Genomic DNA, 24947 nt, shown 5'->3' on the forward strand with positions numbered 1-24947 from the left:
CTTCACAAAATTAAAAAAAAAAACCATTTAAAGTTTGTATGGATCCAAAAAGGAGTCCAAATAGCCAAAGCAATCCTAAGCAAAAAGAACAAATCCAGAGGCATCACATTGCCTAACTTCAAATTATATCACAAGGCTATAGTAACTAAAACAGCACATTACTGGTACAAAAAGAGACACATACTGATCAACGGAACAGAATAGAAAACCCTAAAGTAAAGCCACATACCTACAGCCAATTGATCTTAATAACATTGACAAAAATAAACAATAGAAAAGGACACCTTATTCAATAAATGGTGCTAGGGAAATTGGGTAGCCATATGCAGAAGAATAAAACAACTCCTACCTCTCACCATATACCAAAATTAACTAAAGATGGATTAAAGACCTAAATGTAAGACCTGAAACTAAAAATTCCTAGAAGAAAATTTAGGAAAAACTCTTCTGGACATTGGCCTAGGCAAAGAATTTATGAATCAGACCACAAAAGCAAATGCAACAAAACAAAAATAGATTAATGGGATTTAATTAACCTAAAAAGCTTCTTTACAGCAAAAGAAATAATCAAGAGAGTAAACAGACAACCTAAAGAATGAGAGAAAATATTTGCAAGTTATGCCTCTGACAAAGGACAAATATCCAGAATCTAAAAAAAAAACTCAAACAACTCAAGACAAAAACACATAATCCCATTAAAAAGTGGCCAAAAGACATGAACAGACATTTCTCAAAAGAAAATATACAAACAGCCAACAAACATATGAAAAAGTGCTCAACATCAGTAATCATCAGAGAAATGCAAATTAAAATCACAATGAAGTACCATCTCACACCAATCAGAATGGCTGTTTTTTAGTTGGTTTTTATTTTTTTAACTTTTATTTTAGTTTCAGAGGTACATGTGCAGGTTTGTTATATAGGTAAATTGCATATCACAGGGGTTTGATGTACAGATAATTTCTCCACCCAAGTAACAAGCATAATACCCAATAGGTAGTTTTTTGATCCTCATCCTCCTTTCCTCCTTTCCTCATCCTCCTCCACCCTCAGTTTCCCAGTGTCTGTTGTTCCCTTCTTTGTGTCCTTATGTACTCAGTGGTTAGCTCTCACTTTGAGAACATGTGGTATTTGGTTTCCTGTTTCTATGTTAGTTCACTTAGGAAAATGGCCTCCAGCTCCATTCATATTGCTGCAAAGGACATAATTTTGTCCCTTTTTTTGGCTGTGTAGTACAGAATGTCTATTAAAACATCAAAAAACAGTAGATGTTGGCAAGGATGCAGAGAAAAGGGAACGCTTACACATTGTTGGTGGGAATGTAAATTAGCACAACCGCTATTAAAAATAGTATGCAGATTTCTGAAAGAACTAATAAATAGAACTACTATTTGACCCAGCAATCCCCTACTGGGCACCTACCCAAAGGAAAAAAAATCATTATACAAAAAAGACACCTGCACTTGTATGTTTATCTCAGCACTATCCACAATAAGCAAGTTACGGAATAAACCCAAGTGTCCATCAACAGTTGATTAGATAAAGAAAGTACGGTGTATGTACATCATGAAACACTATACAGCCATTTAAAAAATGAAATCATGTTCTTTGCAGCAAAATGGGTGGAGCACAAGGCATTTTTCTAACAAAAATAACTCAAAAACAGAAAACCACCTACCACATGTTCTCATTTATAAGTGGGGGCTAAACAATGGGTACATATGGACATAAAGGTGGAAATAATAAATACTGGGAACTCCAAAGAGGGGAGAGTGGCAAGGGGGGTGAGGGTTAAAAATTCCCTATTGGGTACAATGTTTACTATTTGAGTAATGGGTTCACTGGAAGCCCAAACCTCATCATTATGCAACATATTCATGTAACAATCCTTCCCATGTGTCCCCTGAATCTAAAATTTTAATTTTAATTTTTAAAAATTCTTATTCAATTTGTGTTTCTATAGCTGAGCTCAAACAAGTTCTCTTTGTTTGAAAAGGTATAAATAAATTTAGTTGTGGATGTGCTTCAAACTTCTTCTCATAGAGCTGGGTTCCACAAGTTGGGCTGTTTTACTCCCTAACGTTAGATTGCGAAGGTCAAACATTAAGATGGTCCTAACTCAGATAAACCTAGCTGAATAGCACACCCCCAAAATAATAAAACCAGGACTGAAGTCTTTTGTTTACAAAACAAAGACTACTGACTCATAACTAATATCAGCTTACTTGTCATTTGTTCATACCTTGTTTTTCATTTCAGGTCAAAACACACTGAAATTTACTCAATACTAATGGTCTTCCCCTGATGCCCCAGTCTCTGCAAGGTTGCTTTTTTCTCCAGAGATTTAACTTGCAATGCTCTGACTTCACAATTTTTCAACTTTATGGTGGTGTAAAACCTATATGCATTGAGTACACTACTCAATTTACCACCATGGGGCTATGTCTCGATAAGCCCATTGTGGAAGCATCTGTATTCAAATCCCTATTTTACAAATGAAGAAATCAAGGCACAGAAACATTAACAAACTTTTCAAGTTGACACACTCATAAGATGCAAAATTTTGAATTGATACCAGGTCTGACCGCCTCAGACTGTGGTACTCACCAAATATTCTGTGTGCTACCCTGCATCTTCCAGCCTCCATGCACTTAGACTGAGGTCATGTGCCCAGTAGGTGAGAGCAAAACAAGGAGCAAATTACAATGATGTGTGTGCCTTTTCTGAGCTGAGGCATTTAAAAGCAGTAACTCTCAAAGCCATGAGTTGAGATGGTACAGTCTTCAAATACAGAGCCTGAATCCATGAGACACCATGTGGAAGAGGGTTACTGTGAGGAATCACGAGATGTGCATTAGACTTTCTGAAAGCAAGAAACAAACCTTTGTTATGTTAATCCCCTAACACTCCAGAGATTTTCTGGTTTTGTTGCTGTTCTTGTTGTTGTTGTTGTTGTTTTTGTTGCCGCCACAGCATATTCTTGCATTACCCTAACACAGACCCCAAAACCTGTGTCCTCAACCCTAAAACTCTAACTTCTTCCAACTTGTCTTTTCAGAGTACTTATCTAATGTAAGGCAGAGAAAAAGAGATGAGGAAATAAATATATCAAACGCTATCATTTTCTTCAACAGGGATGTGGGAATAAAATATTTGTGAAGGAGCCACATGAATACCAGGAGGAGATCATGAGTAACTTTACAAGACACCACAACAGAACTGGTATCATGAGGGAGTCCACAGGTTGGCTTGGAGCAAGAGGAGAAGTGGATGAAATGCACATAGGCTGTGGCATTATTCTACTCCAACAAAATCCTTCTTCTTGCTACCCACACCAAATTTACACTTTTGATAAAACTTTAATAAATTTTCTGCTATGCTGAAGATTGTCATACACTGGAATACAAGATTCCATAACAAAGAAAGATTTTAAAGACCCACAGAATGGCTTACAGATGCAGAACAGATTCTATCATCTATTCTAGGAAGTTTCTACCTACTCTTGGTGGAACAAAGCGTGAACTTCTTTCTCTCAATTCATTTACATTTAGGCATCCTCCTCTCCATTGTCTTTCCCATGCATTATACAAAAGAAAAGATACACTCTCCTTCTGGTAATATTAAACTTGGAAATAATAAATGTGCTTACCTTCCTCCCAGCAATTTCTCCCTGAATTTACACTACTCATGCAAAATTCAAACATATGTACATATAAGTTCATGGCAGCATAATTTATAATAGTGAAAAACTGGAAGCAATTGAAATGTTCATTAACAAAAGACTGGACATATTAGTTATGGTATTTACCTTAAAAAATATTTTATGGTTCATAAAAATGATTTGGTAGCTCTAGATTTATTGACATGCAAACACACCCATGCCAGGTTTATGAGTAAAAATGTGCATTATAAAAATATCTGTAGTGTAATCCTATTTATAAAAAACTGGGAAGGAGTGGCCAAGATGGCCAACTAGATGCAGCTCTCATGGAGAGGAATGGAAGGGGTGAGTAAATACAATACCTTCAACTGAAACATCCAGGTACTTGTATTGGGACTAATCAAGAAAACAACTTGACCCATGGAGAATGAAGAAAAGCAAGACAGGACAACAGCACCTCCGGGAGCAATACAGAGCCAAGGGAAACTCCCTGACCCGGGGAAGTAGTGAGTAAATATTGGACCCAGGGAAACCATGCTTCTTCCACAGATCTTTGAAACCCTTGGGTCAAGAGACCTTGTGCACCTACTCCACCAGGACCTTCAGTCAGATAGATATGTGGAGTCTCAGCAAAGCAGCCATCCAGGCACACATGGAGACCCTAGAGCCTTAGATATTTGGGCTATCTGGCAAAAGTAGCTGAAGCTCCAGCAATGTGGGAGGCTAGACCCCTGTAAATACCCCTAAGAAAGAGGCTGAATCCAGGGGGCTGAGCAGTGACAAGCTGCAGGTCAGACTTCCATGGCACTTCATAAGATAAGACCCACTGGCTTGGAATTCCAGCCAGCCACCAGTAGCAGGATTGCACCTCCCTAAAAAGGAGCTCCCAGGGGAGGGGCAGGCCACTATCTTTGCTGTTTGGGTGCCTTAGCCATTCCAGCCTTCAGGCTTCAGAGAGCCTGAGCTGACCAGAGTGGAAAGTATCCCCCAGCACAGCACAGCTGCTCTATCAAAACATGGCTAGACTGCTGCTTTAAGCAGGTGCCCAATCCCATTTCTCCTCACTGGGCAGGACCTCCCAAATGGGGCCTCCAGCCATCCCACTTGTACTCTCCAGCCAACAGAGATTTAAATTCTCCCTGAGACTGCACCCCCAAAGGGAGGGGCAGGACACCATCTTTGCTGTTTGGGTAACTTAGCTGATCCAGGCTTTGGGCTTTGGAGAGTCCTAGCCAACTGGGGCCAGAAGAGATCCCCCAGCACAGCACAGCTGCTCTACCAAAATGTGGCCAGACTGCTTCATTAAGTAGGCCTCTGATTCCACTCCTCCTTACTGGGTGGGACCTCCCAACTGGGGCCTCCATCCCCCCCCTGGTCAGTGTTCTCCTGCTGACAAAGATTTGTAACCTCCCTGGGATTGATCCCCCAGAGGGAGGGGCAGGCCACCATCTTTGCTGTTTGGGCAATTTAGCCCTTCCAGCAACAAGCTTGTACCTCTCTGGAACAAAGCTCCCAGAGGGAGGGACAGGCTGCCATCTTTGCTGTTTCAAAACCTTCACTGGTTATACCTCTGGGTACTGGAAAATTCAAGGTGACTAGCAACTCGAGTGGGCCCCAAGCATACCACAGCAGCCCTATGGAAAAGTGCCCAGACTGTTAGGTGAATGCCCATTCCCATATGCCACCTTTGGACTAACAAAGGAGCAAAGACCCTAAGTGCCTTATCCACACCTCCAAAACGCTGCAGTCAACCCAAGGAGAGACCAGTCCATCTCCCATGGGTCCCACATACCACCACTGCTCATCACCAGACAGGGAATCCCTGGCTTAGGTCCACAGGACAGACACTGCATCCTGAGCTGATTGCACTGAGCAATTGCTGACCTTCATCTTTCTGGAGTGGAGCCCCTAGGAGATATACAAATGAACCTAGACCACACCACTACTAAGATCCCTTCCTCTGCTGCCTCCTAGTCAGAGAAAGAAAATAAACACTGAGATCACCCCAGAGCTGCAGTGGGCAGCCAGGAGTGCCAAGTCATGATCTACAGCCAGCACTCAAGGGGGAAAGGAACCCATGCTTTCAGAGTATTGAGAGGGAACATGGCTGCAACTATGTGGAAACATAGGGAAGCCACACAACCAAGCAAGAGTTTACCAACTGACAAAGAAGCCTGAGTACTACCTGCTGGATCACACCCCAAAGCTTCAAAACCACAAATATCTCACTAATATACCCCCTCTCTGAAACCAGAGACAAGAAAGCACCTTCAAATAAAGACCGTGCACAAAGCCTAGGCCCAGTGGAAACAAGCAGAAAAGAAGTCTACTGACTGTATTCAATCTACACTGCAGGTAAAGGAACACCCACACACAGATATGAGAAAGAACCAATGCAAGAATTCCAGTAACTCAAATGGCCAGAGTGTCATATGTCCTCCAAATGACCACACCAGCTCTCCAGCAAGTGTTCTTAACCAGGCTAAGGTTGGAATGACATACAGAGATTTCAGAATATGGATAGGAACGAAGGTCAACAAGATTCAGTGGGATGGCAAAACTCAATCTAAGGAAAAGAAGAATCACAATAAAGTGATACAGGAGCTGAAGGATAAAACAGCCAGTATAAAAAAAGAAGCTAACAGGTCTGAAAGAGCAGAATAACACAATACAAGGATTTCACAATGCAATCACAAGTATTAACAGCAGAATAAACCAAGCTGAGGAAAGAATCTCAGAACTTGAAGACTGGTTCCCTGAAATGAGACAATCAGACAAAAATAAAGAAAAAGTAATAAAAACCAATGAACAAAACCTTCTAGAAGCATGGGATATGTAAAGAGGCCAAATCTATGAACATTGGCATCCCTGAAATGGAGGGTAAGAAATCAAACAACTTAGAAAAAATGCAAGGCTGGTTCAACACACGCAAATCAATAAACGTAATCCAGCATATAAACAGAACCAAAGACAAAAACCACATGATTATCTCAATAGATGCAGAAAAGGCCTTTGACAAAATTCAACAACCCTTCATGCTAAAAACTCTCAGTAAATTAGGGATTGATGGGACATATCTCAAAATAATAAGAGCTATTTATGACAAACCCATAGCCAGTATCATACTGAATGAGCAAAAACTGGAAGCATTCCCTTTGAAAACTGGCTCAAGACAGGGATGCCCTCTCTCACCATTCTTATTCAACATAGTGTTGGAAGTTCTGGCCTGGGCAACCAGGCAGCAGAAAGATATAAAGGGTATTCAATGAGGAAAAGAGGAAGTCAATTGTCCTTGTTTGCAGATGACTTGATTGTATATCTAGGAAATCCCATCATCTCAGCCCAAAATCTCCTTAAGCTGATAGGCAACTTCAGCAAAGTCTCAGGATACAAAATCAATGTGCAAAAATCACAGGCGTTCTTATACACCAATAACAGAGAAACAGAGAGCCAAATCATGAGTGAAGTCCCATTCACCATTGCTTCAAAGAGAATAAAATACCTAGGAATCCAATTTACAAGGGATGTGAAAGACCTCTTCAAGGAGAACTACAAACCACTGCCCAACGAACTAAAAGAGGACACAAACAAATGGAAGAACATTCCATGCTCATGGATAGGAAGAATCAGTATCGTGAAAATGGCCATACTGCCCAAGGTAATTTATAGATTCAATGCCATCCCCATCAAGCTACCAATGACTTTCTCCACAAAATTTGGAGAAAACTACTTTAAAGTTCATATGGAACCAAAAAAGAGCCTGCATTGCCAAGTTAATCCTAAGCCAAAAGAACAAAGCTGGAGGCATCATGCTACCTGACTTCAAACTATACTACAGGACAGCATGGTAACAGTACCAAAACAGAGATATAGACCAATGGAACAGAACAGAGCACTCAGAAATAATACCACACATCAACAACCATCTGATCTTTGACAAACGTGACAAAAACAAGAAATGGGGAAAGGATTCCCTATTTAATAAATGGTGCTGGGAAAACTGGCTAGCCATACGTAGAAAACTGAAACTGGATCCCTTCCTTACACCTGATACAAAAATCAATTCAAGATGGATTAAAGACTTAAATGTTAGACCTAAAACCATACAAACTCTAGAAGAAAACCTAGGCAATACCATTCAGGACATAGGCATGGGCAAGGACTTCATGTCTAAAACACCAAAAGCAATAGCAACAAAAGCCAAAATTGACAAATGGGATCTAATTAAACTAAAGAGCTTCTGCACAGCAAAAGAAACTACCATCAGAGTGAACAGGCAACCTACAAAATGGGAGAAAATTTTTGCAATCACTCATCTGACAAAGGGCTAATATCCAGAATCTACAAAGAACCCAAACAAATTTACAAGAAAAAAACAAACAACCCTGTCAAAAAGTGGGTGAAGGATATGAACAGACATTTCTTAAAAGAAGACATTTATGCAGCCAACAGACACATGAAAAAATGCTCATCATCACTGGCCATCAGAGAAATGCAAATCAAAACCACAATGAGATACCATCTCACACCAGTTAGAATGGCGATCATTAAAAAGTCAGGAAACAACAGATGCTGGAGAGGATGTGGAGAAATAGGAACAGTTTTACAATGTTGGTGGGACTGTAAACTAGTTCAACCATTGTGGAAGACAGTGTGGTGATTCCTCAAGGATCTAGAACTAGAAATACTATTTGACCCAGCCATCCCATTACTGGGTATATACCCAAAGTATCACAAATCATGCTGCTATAAAGACACATGCACATCTATGTTTATTGAGGCACTATTCACATTAGCAAAGTCTTGTAACCAACCCAAATGTCCATCAGTGATAGACTGGATTAAGAAAATGTGGCACATATACACCATGGAATACTATGCAGCCATAAAAAAGGATGAGTTCATGTCCTTTGTAAGGACATGGATGAAGCTGGAAACCATCATTCTCAGCAAACTACTGCAAGGACAAAAAACCAAACACCGCATGTTCTCACTCGTAGGTGGGACTTGAATAATGAGAACACTTGGACATAGGAAGGGGAACATCACACACCAGGGCCTGTCATGGGGTGGGGGGAATGAGGAGGGATAGCATTAGGAGATATACCTAATGTAAATGACAAGTTAATGGGTGCAGCACACCAACATGGTACATGTATACACATGTAACAAACCTGCACATTGTGCACATGTACCCTAGAAGTTAAAGTATAATAAAACAAACAAACAAAAAAAAAAAGAAAACATATTTCAGAATATCATTAGTGAAAACTTCTCCAACCTTGCTGGAGAGGCCAACAGTCAAATTCAAGAAATATGAAGAACTTCTGCAAGATTCTATACAAGAAGATCATCCCCAAGACAAATGATCTTCATATTTTCCAAGGTCAAAATGAAAGAAAAAATGTTAAAGGAAGCTAGAGAGAAAGGGCAGGTCACCTGTAAAGAGAACCCCATCAGGCTAACAGCAGACCTCTCAGCTGAAATCCTACAAGCCAGAAGAGATTGGGGGCCTATAATCAATGTTCCTTAAGAGAAAAATCTCCAATCAAGAATATTATATCCAGCCAAACCAAGCTTCCCTAAATGAAGGAGAAATAAGACCCCTTTCAGATAAGCAAATGTTGAGGGAATTTATTACCACAAGACTTGCCTTACAAGAAATCTTGAAAGGAGTACAAAATATGGAAAGGAAACAAAATATGGAAAGGAAAGGAAAGCTAACACAAAAACACACTTAAACACACAGATTAGTGTCACTTTAAAGCAACCACACAAGTAAGCCAGCATAATAACCAGCTAACAGCACAATGACAGGATCAAATCCACACATATCAATACTAAATGCCCCACTTAAATGGCACAGAGTAACAAGATGGATAAAAAAGCAAGACCCAATGGTATGCTGTCTTCAAGAGACTCATCTCACATGTAATTACACTCATAGGCTCAGAATAAAGGGATAGAGGAAAATCTACCAAGCAAATGGAAAACAGAAAAAAAGCAGGTGATATGGTTTGGCTCTGTGTCCACACCCAAATCTCATCTCAAAATGTAATCCCCAATAATCCCCATGTGTCTAGGGAGGTACCTGGTGGGAGCTGATTGGATCATGGGGTCAGTTTCCCCCATGCTGATAGTGAGTAAGTTCTCATGAGATCTGATGGTTTTATAAGTGTTTGACAGTTCCTCCTTCACACACTCACTCTCTTTCTCTCCTGCCACCTTGTGAAGAAGGTGCCTGCTTCCACTTCCACCATGATTGTAAGTTTCCTGATGACTCCCCAGCCATGTGGAACTGTGATTCAATTAAACCTCTTTCCTCTATAATCTACCCAGTTTTAGGGAAGTTCTTTATAGCAGTGTGAAAGCATACTAATGGGTTGAAATCCTAATTTCAAACAAAACAGATTCCAAACTAAGATCAGAAAATATGAGAAGGCCATTACATAATGGTGAAGGGTTCAATTCAACAAGTAGACCTAACTATGCTAAATATATATGCACCTAACACAGGAACATCCAGATTCATAAAGCAAGTTCTTAGAGACCTACAAAGAGACACAGACTCCCACGCAATAATGGCAGGAGACTTTAATACTCTACTGAGAGTATTAGACTAATCATTAAGGTAGAAAATTAACAAAGATATTCAGAACCAAAATTCAACATTGGACCAAATGGATCTGAGAGACCTATACAGAACTCTCCACCCAACAGAATATACATTATTCTCATTGCCATATGGCACATACTCTAAAATTGACCACATAATTGGATATAAAAAAATCCTCAACAAATGTAAAAGGACAAAAATCATACTAAACACACTCTCAGACCACAGTGCAATAAAAATAGTCAAAAGAAGGAAAGACTATGAAAATAGCTTAAAGCCATGCAATTACCTGGAAATTAAACATGACGTTCCTGAATGACTTTTGGGTAAATAATGAAATTAATGCAGAAATCAAGAAGTTCTTTGAAACTAATGAGAACAAAGACACACATACCAGAATCTCTGGGACACAGCTAAGACAGTGTTTAGAGGGAAATTTATAGCACTAAATACCCACATCAAAAAGTTAGAGAGATCTCAAATTAACAACCTAACTTCCCAACTGAAAGAATTAGAGAAGCGAAAACAAATCAACCCCAAAGCTAGCAGAAGATACGAAATAACAAAAATCAGAGCTCAACTGAAAGAAACTGAGACATAAAATAACATTCAAAAGATCAATAAATCCAGGAGTTGGTTTTTTGAAAAAATTAATAAAGTAGATAGGCCACTAGCTAGATCAATAAAAAAGAAAAGAGAAAAGATCCAAACAAACACAATAAACACAATTAGAAATGATGAAGGGAATGTTACTACTGACCCCACAGAAATAAAAACAACCATGTATTAGTCTGTTTTCATGCTGCTATAAAGAACTGTCTGAGAGTGGGTAATTTATAAAGAAAAGAGATTTAATTGACTCACAGTTCCACATGGCTGGGGAGGCCTCAGGAAACTTAAAGTCATGGTGAAAAGGGAAGCAAACACATCTTTTTTCACATGGTGGCAAGAGAGACAATGAGAGCCAAGTGAAAGGGGAAGTCTCTTATAAAACCATCATATATCATGAGAACTTATTCACTATCACGAGAACAGTATGGGGGAGACTGCCCCATGATTCAGTTATCTCCACCTGGTCCTGCCCTTGACATGTGGGGATTATTACGGTTCAAGATGAGATTTTGGGTGGTGACACTGCCAAACCATGTCAAACCACTGGAAACTGCTACGAACACCTCTACACACACAAACTAGAAGACCTAGAAGAGATGGACAAATTTCTGGACACACACACCCTCCCAAGACTGGGCCAGGAAGAAATGGATTCCCTGAACAGAACCAATAACAAGCTCCAAAATTGAATCAGTAATAAATAGCCTACCAACAAAAAAAAGCCCATGACCTGATGGGTTTACAGTCACATTCTACCAGATGTACAAAGAAGAGATGGTACCATTCTTACAGAAATTATTCCAAAGAATTAAGGAGGAGGGACTCCTCCTCAACTCATTCTATGAGGCAAACATCATCCAAATAACAAAACCTTACAAAGACACAAGAAAAAAGGAAAACTTCAGGTCAATATCCCTGTCGAACATTGATACAAAAATCCTCAACAAATTACTGGCAAACTGAATTCAGCAGCACATCAAAAAGCTAATCCGCTATGATCAAGTAGGCTTCATCCCCAGATGCAAGGTTGGTTCAACATACACACATTAATAAATGCGATTAATCACATAGACAGAACTAGAGACAAAAACCACATAATTATCTCAATAGATGCAAGAAAGGGTTTCAATCAAATTCAATCCCTTGATGTTAAAAATGCCCAATAAACTAGGTATTGAAAGAAAATACCTCAAAATAATAAGAGCCATCTATACAAACCCATAGCCAACATCTTGCTGAATGGGCAAAACTGGAAACATTCCCCTGGAAAACTGGCATAAGACAAGGATGCCCTCTCTCACCACTTCTATTCAACATAGTATTGGAAGTCCTGGCCAAAGCAATCAGGCAAGAGAAAGAAATAAAGGGCATCCAAATAGGAAGAGAGGAAGTCAAACTATCTCTGTTTGCAGATGACATGATCTTAGGTCTAGAAAACCCCATGGTCTCTGCCCAAAAGTTCTTCCAGCTGATAAACAACTTCAGAAAAGTTGCAGGATATGAAATCAATGTACAAAAAAAAATCACTAGTATTCCTATGCACCAACAACAGCCAATCTGAGAGCCAAATCAGAAAGGCAATCCCATTCACAATTGCCACAAAAAGAATGCAATACCTAGGAATACAGCTAACCAGGGAGATGAAAGATCTCTACAATGAAAATTATAAAACACTGCTCAAAGAAATCAGAGAAGGAACAAACAAATGGAAAAACATTCCATGCTCACGGACAGGAAGAATCATCATTAAAATGGCTATACTTTCCAAAGCAATTTACAGATTCAATGCTATTCCTATCAAACTACCAAAAACATTCTTCACAGAACTAGAAGTAACTATTTTAAAATTCATATAAAACCAAAAAAAAAAGCCTGAATAGCCAATACAATCCTAAGCAAAAAGAACAAAGCTAGAGACATCATGCTACTCAACTTCAAACTATATTACAGGGCTATAGTAACCAAAATAGCATGGTACTGGTACAAAAACAGGCACATAGACCAATAGAACAAAATAGCCCAGAAATAAGGACTCACATTTACGACCATCTGATCATCAATAAAGCTGACAAAAACAAGCAATGAGGAAAAGACTCCCTATTCAATAAATGGTCCTGGGAAAACTGGCTAGCCATATACAGAAGATTGAAGCTGGAACCCCTCCTTATGCCATACACAAAAATTAACTCAAGATGGATTAAATACTTATTAAAACCCAAAACTATAAAAACCCTGGAAGACAACCTAGGCAATACCATCCTGGACATAGGAATGGGCAAAGATTTCATGATAATGACACCAAAAGCAATTGCAACAAAAGCAAAAAAAAAAATTGACAAGTGGGATCTAATTAAACTTAAGAGCTGCACAGCAAAAGAAAATGTCAACAGAGTAAATAGACAGAATGGGAGAAAATTTTTGCAAACTATGCATCTGACAAAGGTCTAATATCCAACATCTAAAATAAATTTAAACAAATTTACAAGGAGAAAAAAACATTAAAAAGTGGGCAAAAGACATGAACAGGCACTTCTCAAAAGATGACTTACATGCAGCCAATAAGCATGTTTTTAAGAAAGCTCAAAATCATTGCTCATTCGAGAAATGCAAATCAAAACCACAATGAGATACCATCTCACACCAGTCACAATGATTATTATTAAAAAGTCAAAAAATAACAGATGCTGGTGAGGTTGTGGAGAAAAGGGAACACTTATAGACTGTATGTGAGAGTGTACATTCATTCAACTATTGTGGAAAGCAGTATGGTGATTCCTCAAAGAGCTAAAAGCAGAACTACCATTCAACCTAGCAATCCCATTGCTGGGTATATACCCAGATGAATATAAATCATGCTACCATAAAGACACATGCATGTGAATGTTCATTGCAGCACTACTTACAATGGCAAAGACATGGAATCAAACTAAATGCCCATCAATGACAGATTGGATAAAGAAAATGTGGTACATATATACCATGGAATACTATGCAGCCTTAAAAACAAATGAGATCATAGTAGGCTGGGTGCAGTGGCTCACACCTGTAGTCCCAGCACTTTGGGAGGCCGAAGCAGGTGGATCACTTGAGCCCAGAAATTCGAGACCAGCCTTGGCAACATGGTGAAACCCTGTCTCTCCAAAAAAATTAATAATAATAAATAAATAAATAAATAAATAGAAAAAAGAAAACAAGACCATGTCTTCTGCAGGAACATGGATGGTGCTGGAGGCTATTCTCCTTAGCAAACTAACAAGGGAACAGAAAACTGAATACCAAATGTTCTCACTTATAAGTGGGAGGTAAATGATGAGAACCTACAAACACAAGGAAGGAAACAATGGACACAGGGGCCTACTTGATGGGGGAGGGTGAGAGGAAGGAGAGAGGCAGAAAAGATAACTATTGGGTACTGGGCTTAAAACAATATGTACAACGAACCCACGTGACATGTGTTTATCTATGTAACAAACATTCACATGGACCACCAAATTTAAAATAAAAGTTAAAAATAAAAATACTGTACACATGCAAAAAAAAAGAAAAACTATGTATGTCTGGTTTTGTTTATGAGTAGAGAAGGCTTAAAAGATATACTCCAAAATGTTAACATCAGTTCTCTTTCCTTTGTAGGTTTTGGGGTATATTTCTTTCATATACTTTTCTGCACTGCTTCAGTTTTTAAATATTCACATACTATATTTACAATCATAAAAGTAATATAATTTTTATTTGGGGGAAAAATGTTTAAACTGTATAGTAGCTATCACTTTCCAACCCTCCCAGAATTTTCTCTTTTCCTTTTTTATTATTATCAATATTATTTTTGGTTGACAAATTATAATTGTATAAATTTATGGAGTACAATGTGATGCTTTGATATATGTATACAATGTGGAGTGATCAAATCAAGCATATTAACATGTCCATCATCTAACTTACTTTTTTTTTTTTTGAGACAGTATCACTCTGTCACTCAGATTGGAGTGCAGTGGTGCAATCTGGGCTCACACTCCAACCTCCGCCGCCTGGGTTCAAGCTGGGATTGAGTGCTGGGATTACAGGCATGCAACACCACACCGGCTAATTTTTGTATTTTTAGTAGAAATGGGGTTTTACCATGTTGGCCAAGCTGGTCTCAAACTCCTGACCTCAAGTGATTCACCCGCTTCAGCCTGCCAAAGTGCTGGGATTACAGGCGTGAGCCACCGCACCCAGCCACATATTACTTTTATATTGAGATACTTGAAATTTACTCTTTGTTATTTTGAAATATATAGTACATTATTATAGTTCTCTTGCTATGCAGTGGGTCTCAAAATGTATTCCTACTATCCCACTGAAACTTTGTACTATTTGACCAGCAACTCCCATTCACTTTCTTTTCTCCCCAAACCCTAGCTTCTGGTAACCATCATTCTACTCTCTACTTCTATGAATTCAACTTTTTTAGATTCCACATATAAGGGAGATCATGACATTTTTGTCTTTCTGTGCCTGGCTTATTTCACTTAGCATAATATCCTCCAGATTCACCCATGTTGTCATAAATGACAGTATTTCCCCCTTCTTTTAAGGCTGAACACTTTTTCATTACATATGACACAGTTTCTTTGTTCATCCACTGATAGACACTTAGGTTAATTCCATATCTTGGCTATTGTGACTGTATTAGTCTGTTTTCATGCTGCTGATAAAGACATACCCGAGACTGGGTAATTTATAAAGAAAAAGAGGTTTAATGGACTCACAGTTCCACGTGGCTGGGGAGGCCTCACAATCATGGTGGAAGGCGAAAGGCAGAAGACAAAAGAGGATGAGAATTAAGTGAAAGGGGTTGCCCCTTGTAAAACCATAAGATCTCGTGAGACTTATTCACTACCATGAGAACAGTAAGAAGGAAACCCCTACTATGATTCAATTATCTCCCACCGGGTCCCTCCCCCAACACATGGGAATTATGGGAGCTACAATTCAAGAAGAGATTTGAGTGGGGACACAGGCAAACCATATCAGTCACTATTCCTACAACGAACATAGGAGTACATATAACCCTTCAACATATTGATTTCGGTTCCTTTGGATATATACCCACAAGTGGGATTACCAGATCATAAGGTAGTTCTATTTTTAGTTTCTTGAGGAACATCCATACCATTTTCTATAATGGCTGCATTACTTTACATTCCTACCAACAATTGTACAAGAGTCCCCTTTTGTCTGCATCTTCACCGATACTTATCTTTCATCTATTTTATAAAAGTCATTCTAACAGATGTGAGGTGATACCTCATTGTGGTTTTAATTTGCAATTCCCTAAGATTAGGGATGCTGAGCATTTTTTTCCATGTATGTGTTGGTCACTTATATGTCTTCTTTTCAGAAATGTCTGCTCAATTTCTTTGCCCATTTTTAAATCAGGTTGTTTGTCTTCTTGCTATTGAGTTGTTTGAGTTCTTTATATATTTTGGATATTAACTTCTTATCAGATATATGGTTTGCAAATATTTTCTCCCATTCTACAAACTGTCTCTCCATTTTGTTGTTTCCTTTGCTGCGCAGAAGCTTTTTAGTTTGATGTCTTCCCACTTGTCTAACTTTGTTTCTTTGCCAGTGTTTTGGGGGCAACAATTGTTGCCCAGATCAACATCATGGAGTTTTTCTCTTATGCTTTCTTCTTGTTGTTTTACAATTTCACATCCTATATATAAGTCTTTAATCCATTTTGAGATTATTTTTGTATATGGTATGAGACAAAGGTCAATCTTCATTCTTCTGCACGTGGATATCCAATTTATCATTTATATGTGATAAACGTGAATCATTTGTCACAGAGCCTGTTCTTTCACCCACTGTGTGTTCCTGACAACTTTGTCACAAATCAATTGACTGTAAATGTGCAGGTTTATCTCTGGGCTTTCTAACCCGTTTCATTTGTCAATGTGTCCATTTTTATGCCAGTACCCTGATGTTTTGACTACAATTGCTTTGTAACATGCTTTGAAATTGGGGAAGGTGATGCCTCCAGCTTTGTTCATTTTTCTCAAGATTATTTTGGCTCTTTGGGGTCTTTTGTGGTTCCATACTGGTTTAAGGATTGTTTTTGTATTATTGTGATGAATGACATTGGAATTTTGGTAGGGATTAAATTAAATATGTTGATTGCCTTAGGCAATACAGACATTTTCACAATATTAATTCTTAAAATCTATAAACACAGGCTAGCTTTCCATTTTTGTGTGTTTTCTTCAATTTTTTTCAATGATGTTTTGTAGATTTTAGTATACAGATCTTTCACTTCCTTGGTTAAATTTACAACAAATTAATTTTTGTTGCTATTGTAAATTGGATTATTTTTTAATTTTATCTTCAGATGGTTTTATTATCATATTGAAAGTGCTAATTTTTATACATTGATTTTGTACCCTGCAACTTTACTGACTTTGTTTACCAGCTCTAACAGTTTTTTGGTGGAGTCTTAAGAGTTTTTCTATACATAAAATCATGTTGTCAGCAAACACAGGCAATTTCACTTCTTTTCATATTAGGATGCCTTTTTTTTTAAATTATTATTATACTTTAAGTTTTAGGGTACATGTGCACAATGTGCAGGTTAGTTACATATGTATACATGTGCCATACTGGTGTGCTGCACCCATTAACTTATCATTTAGCATTAGGTATATCTCCTAAAGCTATCCCTCTCCCCTCCCCCCACCCCACAACAGTCCCCAGAGTGTGATGTTCCCCTTCCTGTGTCCATGTGTTCTCATTGTTCAATTCCCACCTATGAGTAGGATGCCTTTTATTTCTTCTCATGCCTAATTGTTCCAGCTAAGACTTTCAGTACCATGTTCAAAAGAAGTCGTGAGAGTGGGCATTCTTTTTTTTTTTTTTAATTTTTTATTATTATACTTTAAGTTTTAGGGTACATGTGCACAATGTGCCGGTTAGTTACATACGTATACATGTGCCATGCTGGTGCGCTGCACCCACTAACTCATCATCTAGCATTAGGTATATCTCCAAATGCTATCCCTCCCCCCTCCTCCCACCCCACAACAGTCCCCAGAGTGTGATGTTCCCCTTCCTGTGTCCATGTGTTCTCATTGTTCAATTCCCACCTATGAGTGAGAATATGCGGTGTTTGGTTTTTTGTTCTTGCGATAGTTTACTGAGAATGATGATTTCCAATTTCATCCGTGTCCCTAGAAAGGACGTGAACTCATCATTTTTTATGGCTGCATAGTATTCCATGGTGTATATGTGCCACATTTTCTTAATCCAGTCTATCATTGTTGGACATTTGGGTTGGTTCCAAGCCTTTGCTATTGTGAATAATGCCGCAATAAACATACATGTGCATGTGTCTTTATAGCAGCATGATTTATAGTCCTTTGGGTATATACCCAGTAATAGGATGGCTGGGTCAAATGGTATTTCTAGTTCTAGATCGCTGAGGAATCGCCACACTGACTTCCACATTGGTTGAACTACTTTACAGTCCCACCAACAGTGTAAAAGTGTTCCTATTTCTCCACATCCTCTCCAGCACCTGTTGTTTCCTGACTTTTTAATGATCGCCATTCTAACTGGTGTGAGATGGTATCTCATTGTGGTTCTGATTTGCATTTCTCTGATGGCCAGTGATGATGAGCATTTTTTCATGTGTCCTTTGGCTGCATAAATGTCTTCTTTTGAGAAGTGTCTGTTCATATCCTTTGCCCACTTTTTGATGGGGTTGTTTTTTTCTTGTAAATTTGTTTGAGTCCATTGTAGATTCTGGATATTAGCCCTTTGTCAAGATGAGTAGGTTGCAAAAATTTTCTCCCATTTTGTGGGTTGCCTGTTCACTCTGATGGTAGTTTCTTTTGCTGTGCAGAGGCTCTTTAGTTTAATTAGATCCCATTTGTCAATTTTGGCTTTTGTTGCCATTGCTTTTGGTGTTTTAGACATGAAGTCCTTGCCCATGCCTATGTCCTGAATAGTAATGCCTAGGTTTTCTTCTAGGGTTTTTATGGTTTTAGGTCTAACGTTTAAGTCTTTAATCCATCTTGAATTGATTTTTGTATAAGGTGTAAGGAAGGGATCCAGTTTCAGCTTTCTACATATGGCTAGCCAGTTTTCCCAGCACCATTTATTAAATAGGGAATCCTTTCCCCATTGCTTGTTTTTCTCAGGTTTGTCAAAGATCAGATAGTTGTAGATATACGGCATTATTTCTGAGGGCTCTGTTCTGTTCCACTGATCTATATCTCTGTTTTGGTACCAGTACCATGCTGTTTTGGTTACTGTAGCCTTGTAGTATAGTTTGAAGTCAGGTAGTGTGATGCCTCCAGCTTTGTTCTTTTGGCTTAGGATTGACTTGGCGATGCGGGCTCTTTTTTGGTTCCATATGAACTTTAAAGTAGTTTTTTCCAATTCTGTGAAGAAAGTCATTGGTAGCTTGATGGGGATGGCATTGAATCTATAAATTACCTTGGGCAGTATGGCCATTTTCACAATATTGATTCTTACTACCCATGAGCATGGAATGTTCTTCCATTTGTTTGTATCCTCTTTTATTTCCTTGAGCAGTGGTTTGTAGTTCTCCTTGAAGAGGTCCTTCACATCCCTTGTAAGGTGGATTCCTAGGTATTTTATTCTCTTTGAAGCAATTGTGAATGGGAGTTCACTCACGATTTGGCTCTCTGTTTGTCTGTTGTTGGTGTATAAGAACGCTTGTGATTTTTGTACATTGATTTTGTATCCTGGGACTTTGCTGAAGTTGCTTATCAGCTTAAGGAGATTTTGGGCTGAGACAATGGGGTTTTCTAGATATACAATTATGTCGTCTGCAAACAGGGACAATTTGACTTCCTCTTTTCCTAATTGAATACCCTTTATTTCCTTCTCCTGCCTAATTGCCCTGGCCAGAACTTCCAACACTGAATAGGAGTGGTGAGAGAGGGCATCCCTGTCTTGTGCCAGTTTTCAAAGGGAATGCTTCCAGTTTTTGCCCATTCAGTATGATATTGGCTGTGGGTTTGTCATAGATAGCTCTTATTATTTTGAGATATGTCCCATCAATACCTAATTTATTGAGAGTTTTTAGCATGAAGGGTTGTTGAATTTTGTCAAAGGCCTTTTCTGCATCTATTAAGATAATCATGTGGTTTTTGTCTTTGGTTCTGTTTATATCCTGGATTACATTTATTGATTTGCGTATATTGAACCAGCCTTGCATCCCAGGGATGAAGCCCACTTGATTATGGTGGATAAGCTTTTTGATGTGCTGCTGGATTCAGTTTGCCAGTATTTTATTGAGGATTTTTCCATCAATGTTCATCAAGGATATTGGTCTAAAATTCTCTTTTTTGGTTGTGTCTCTGCCCAGCTTTGGTATCAGGATGATGCTGGCCTCAAAAAATGAGTTAGGGAGGATTCCCTCTTTTTCTATTGATTGGAATAGTTTCAGAAGCAATGGTACCAGTTCCTCCTTGTACCTCTGGTAGAATTCGGCTGTGAATCCATCTGGTCCTGGACTCTTTTTGGTTGGTAAGCTATTGATTATTGCCACAATTTCAGATCCTGTTATTGGTCTATTCAGAGATTCAACTTCTTCCTGGTTTAGTCTTGGGAGAGTGTATTTATTACTCTCCCGAGGAATTTATCCATTTCTTCTAGATTTTCTAGTTTATTTGTGTAGAGGTGTTCGTAGTAATTTCTGATGGTAGTTTGTATTTCTGTGGGATCAGTGGTGATATCCCCTTTATCATTTTTTATTGTGTCTATTTGATTCTTCTCTCTTTTTTTCTTTATTAGTCTTGCTAGCGGTCTATCAATTTTGTTGATCCTTTCAAAAAACCAGCTCCTGGATTCACTAATTTTTGAAGGGTTTTTTGTGTCTCTATTTCCATCAATTCTGCTCTGATTTTAGTTATTTCTTGCCTTCTGCTAGCTTTTGAATGTGTTTGCTCTTGCTTTTCTAGTTCTTTTAATTGTGATGGTAGGGTGTCAATTTTGGATCTTTCCTGCTTTCTCTTGTGGGCATTTAGTGCTATAAATTTCCCTCTACACATTGCTTTGAATGCGTCCCAGAGATTCTGGTATGTTGTGTCTTTGTTCTCGTTGGTTTCAAAGAACATCTTTATTTCTGCCTTCATTGCGTTATGTACCCAGTAGTCATTCAGGAGCAAGTTGTTCAGTTTCCATGTAGTTGAGCGGTTTTGAGTGAGTTTCTTAATCCTGAGTTCTAGTTTGATTGCACTGTGGTCTGAGAGTTTGTTATAATTTCTGTTCTTTTACATTTGCTGAGGAGAGCTTTACTTCCAACTATATGGTCAATTTTGGAATAGGTGTGGTGTGATGCTGAAAAAAATGTATATTCTGTTGATTTGGGGTGGAGAGTTCTGTAGATGTCTATTAGGTCCGCTTGGTGCAGAGCTGAGTTCAATTCCTGGGTATCCTTGTTGACTTTCTGCCTCGTTGATCTGTCTAATGTTGACAGTGGGGTGTTAAAGTCTCCCATTATTAATGTGTGGGAGTCTAAGTCTCTTTGTAGGTCACTCAGGACTTGCTTTATGAATCTGGGTGCTCCTGTATTGGGTGCATATATATTTAGGATAGTTAGCTCTTCTTGTTGAATTGATCCCTTTACCATTATGTAATGGCCTTCTTTGTCTCTTTTGATCTTTGTTGGTTTAAAGTCTGTTTTATCAGAGACTAGGATTGCAATCCCTGCCTTTTTTTGTTTTCCATTTTTTTGGTAGATCTTCCTCCATCCTTTTATTGTGAGCCTATGTGTGTCTCTGCACGTGAGATGGGTTTCCTGAATACAGCACACTGATGGGTCTTGACTCTTTATCCAATTTGCCAGTCTGTGTCTTTTAATTGGAGCATTTAGTCCATTTACATTTAAAGTTAATATTGTTATGTGTGAATTTGATCCTGTCATTATGATGTTAGCTGGTGATTTTGCTCGTTAGTTGATGCAGTTTCTTCCTGTCTCAATGGTCTTTACATTTTGGCATGATTTTGCAGTGGCTGGTATCGGTTGTTCCTTTCCATGTTTAGCACTTCCTTCAGGAGCTCTTTTAGGGCAGGCCTGATGGTGACAAAATCTCTCAGCATTTGCTTGTCTGTAAAGTATTTTATTTCTCCTTCGCTTATGAAGCTTAGTTTGGCTGGATATGAAATTCTGGTTTGAAAATTCTTGTCTTTAAGAATGTTGAATATTGGCCCCCACTCTCTTCTGGCTTGTAGAGTTTCTGCCGAGAGATCCGCTGTTAGTCTGATGGGCTTCCCTTTGTGGGTAACCCGACCTTTCTCTCTGGCTGCCCTTAACATTTTTTCCTTCGTTTCAACTTTGGTGAATCTGACAATTATGTGTCTCGGAGTTGCTCTTCTCGAGGAGTATCTTTGTGGCATTCTCTGTATTTCCTGAATCTGAATGTTGGCCTGCCTTGCTAGATTGGGGAAGTTCTCCTGGATAATATCCTGCAGAGTGTTTTCCAACTTGGTTCCATTCTCCCTATCACTTTCAGGTACACCAATCAGACGTAGATTTGGTCTTTTCACATAGTCCCAAATTTCTTGGAGGATTTGTTCATTTCTTTTTATTCTTTTTTCTCTAAACTTCCCTTCTCGCTTCATTTCATTCATTTCATCTTCCATTGCTGATACCCTTTCTTCCAGTTGATCGCATCGGCTCCTGAGGCTTCTGCATTCTTCACGTAGTTCTCGAGCCTTGGTTTTCAGCTCCATCAGCTCCTTTAAGCACTTCTCTGTATTGGTTATTCTAGTTATACATTCTTCTAAACTTTTTTCAAGTTTTCAACTTCTTTGCCTTTGGTTTGAATGTCCTCCCATAGCTCGGAGTAATTTGATCGTCTGAAGCCTTCTTCTTTCAACTCGTCAAAGTCATTCTCTGTCCAGCTTTGTTCCATTGCTGGTGAGGAACTGCGTTCCTTTGGAGGAGGAGATGTGCTCTGCTTTCTAGAGTTTCCAGTTTTTCTGCTCTGTTTTTTCCCCATCTTTGTGGTTTTATCTACTTTTGGTCTTTGATGATGGTGATGTACAGATGGGTTTTTGGTGTGGATGTCCTTTCTGTTTGTTAGTTTTCCTTCTAACAGACAGGACCCTCAGCTGCAGGTCTGTTGGAGTACCCCGCCGTGTGAAGTGTCAGTCTGCCCCTGCTGGGGGGTGCCTCCCAGTTAGGCTGCTCGGGGGTCAGGGGTCAGGGACCCACTTGAGGAGGCAGTCTGCCCATTCTCAGATCTCCAGCTGCGTGCTGGGAGAACCACTGCTCTCTTCAAAGCTGTCAGACAGGGACATTTAAGTCTGCAGAGGTTACTGCTGTCTTTTTGTTTGTCTGTGCCCTGCCCCCAGAGGTGGAGCCTACAGAGGCAGGCAGGCCTCCTTGAGCTGTGGTGGGCTCCACCCAGTTCGAGCTTCCTGGCTGCTTTGTTTACCTAAGCAAGCCTGGGCAATGGCAGGCGCAAGAGTGGACATTCTTATTTTGTCCCTGATCTAAGAGGAAAACCTTCCAACTTTTTACCATTCAGAATAATATTAGCTATGGGTTTGTCATATACGGCCTTTTTTGTTTTGAGGTACATTCCTTCTATCCTAATTTGTTGACAGTTTTTATCATAAAGAGATGTTGAATTATGCCAAATGCTTTTTCTGCCTCCATTATGATGATCAAATGGTTTCTGTTCTTCATTCTCTTAATACAGCAGATCACATTTATTGATTTGCATATGTTGAACCATTCCTGCATCTCAGAGATAAATCTCACTTGATCGTGGTGAATGATTGTTTCAAAATGTTGTTAAATTCAGTTTGCTAATATTTTTTAAAGATCTTTGCATCTATGTTCATGAAGGATAATTTTCTTTTCTTGTTGTGTACTTGTCTACCTTTGGTATCAGAGTAATTCTGGCCTTGTAAAATGAACTTGCAAGTAGTCCCTCTACTTTGCTTTTTTGGAAGGGTTTCAGAAGAATTAGTATTAGGTCCTCTTTAAAAGTTTGATACGGCCTGGCACGGTGGCTCACACCTGTAATCCCAACACTTTGGGAGGCCGAGGCAGGTGGATCACGAGGTGAGGAGTTCAAGACCAGCCTGGCCAAGGTGGTGAAACCCCGTCTCTACTAAAAATACAAAAATTAGCCAGGTGTGGTGGCACATGCCTGTAATCCCAACTACTCAGGAGGCTGAGGCAAAGAATACTTAAACCCAGGAGGCAGAGATTCCAGTGAGACGGGATCGTGCTACTGCACTCCAGCCTGGGTGACAGAGTGAGACTCCATCTCAAAAAAAAAAAAAAAGCGTGGTAGAATTCAGCAATGAAGCCACCCAGTCCTGAGTTTTTCTTTGATGGTAGACTTTTTACTACTGATTCAATATTCTTACACAGTATTGGTCTCTTCAGATTTTATATTTTTTCGTGATTTAGTTTTGGTAGGTTGTATGTGTCTAAGAATTCATTCATGTCTTCTAGGTTATCCAATTGACTGACATGTAATTGTTCCAGAATTGCATAATGACATTAGCTGAGGTGAAGAATCTGTTTTCCAGCAATCAGGTCTGCCTACAGTTTTCATCCTAAGAATGGTATCTGCTTATTCAGACAGTACTCAATAAAAATAATGATGAGTATATAAGAGTATGTTGAAAATTACTGTTTTAGGAATGCTTACATCAGACTCTGACATTCAAATGTGACGGTAGATAGATCTGACAGAGAGAGGAGATATAAATCCATTTCCGTAAAATCTTCAGGTTATTTAACTTCTTGTTGCAGAACTGGAATTCCCAAGGTGATCAAGGTTTTTTATCTCTGCTCAAATCTCCAGTGTATGTGGGCAGATGTTATGACATCATTAGGTTGACTGGCTGTCAAATAAAGAAAAAATAAAACAGATCTAAACTATATCTGTTAACACCCCCAAAGCTATCTCAGAAAAGATATTTTGAGTTAAGTTTTCTTTATTTCAAGCTCTTCTCATCTGTTAAGAGTTTTGTCAAAAAGTAATTTAATAAAAGGCAGAGTCAAAATATGCTGTCAACATT

The 24947-nt window shown here is 38.9% G+C and overlaps 1 long non-coding RNA gene across 1 annotated transcript in view; it reads right to left on the reverse strand.

The window, feature by feature from the left end:
* LOC124906307 (uncharacterized) overlaps positions 1-24947 on the reverse strand; it is a 97668-nt gene that overhangs the window by 10715 nt on the left and 62006 nt on the right. Inside the window, exon 1 of the long non-coding RNA XR_007096180.1 lies at positions 2608-5545. This is a non-coding gene — a long non-coding RNA (uncharacterized LOC124906307). Of the gene's footprint in view, positions 1-2607 lie in introns of the transcript that reaches the window.

This window comes from Homo sapiens, chromosome 3, assembly GCF_000001405.40.
Source record: "Homo sapiens chromosome 3, GRCh38.p14 Primary Assembly".
Lineage (NCBI taxonomy): Eukaryota > Metazoa > Chordata > Mammalia > Primates > Hominidae > Homo > Homo sapiens.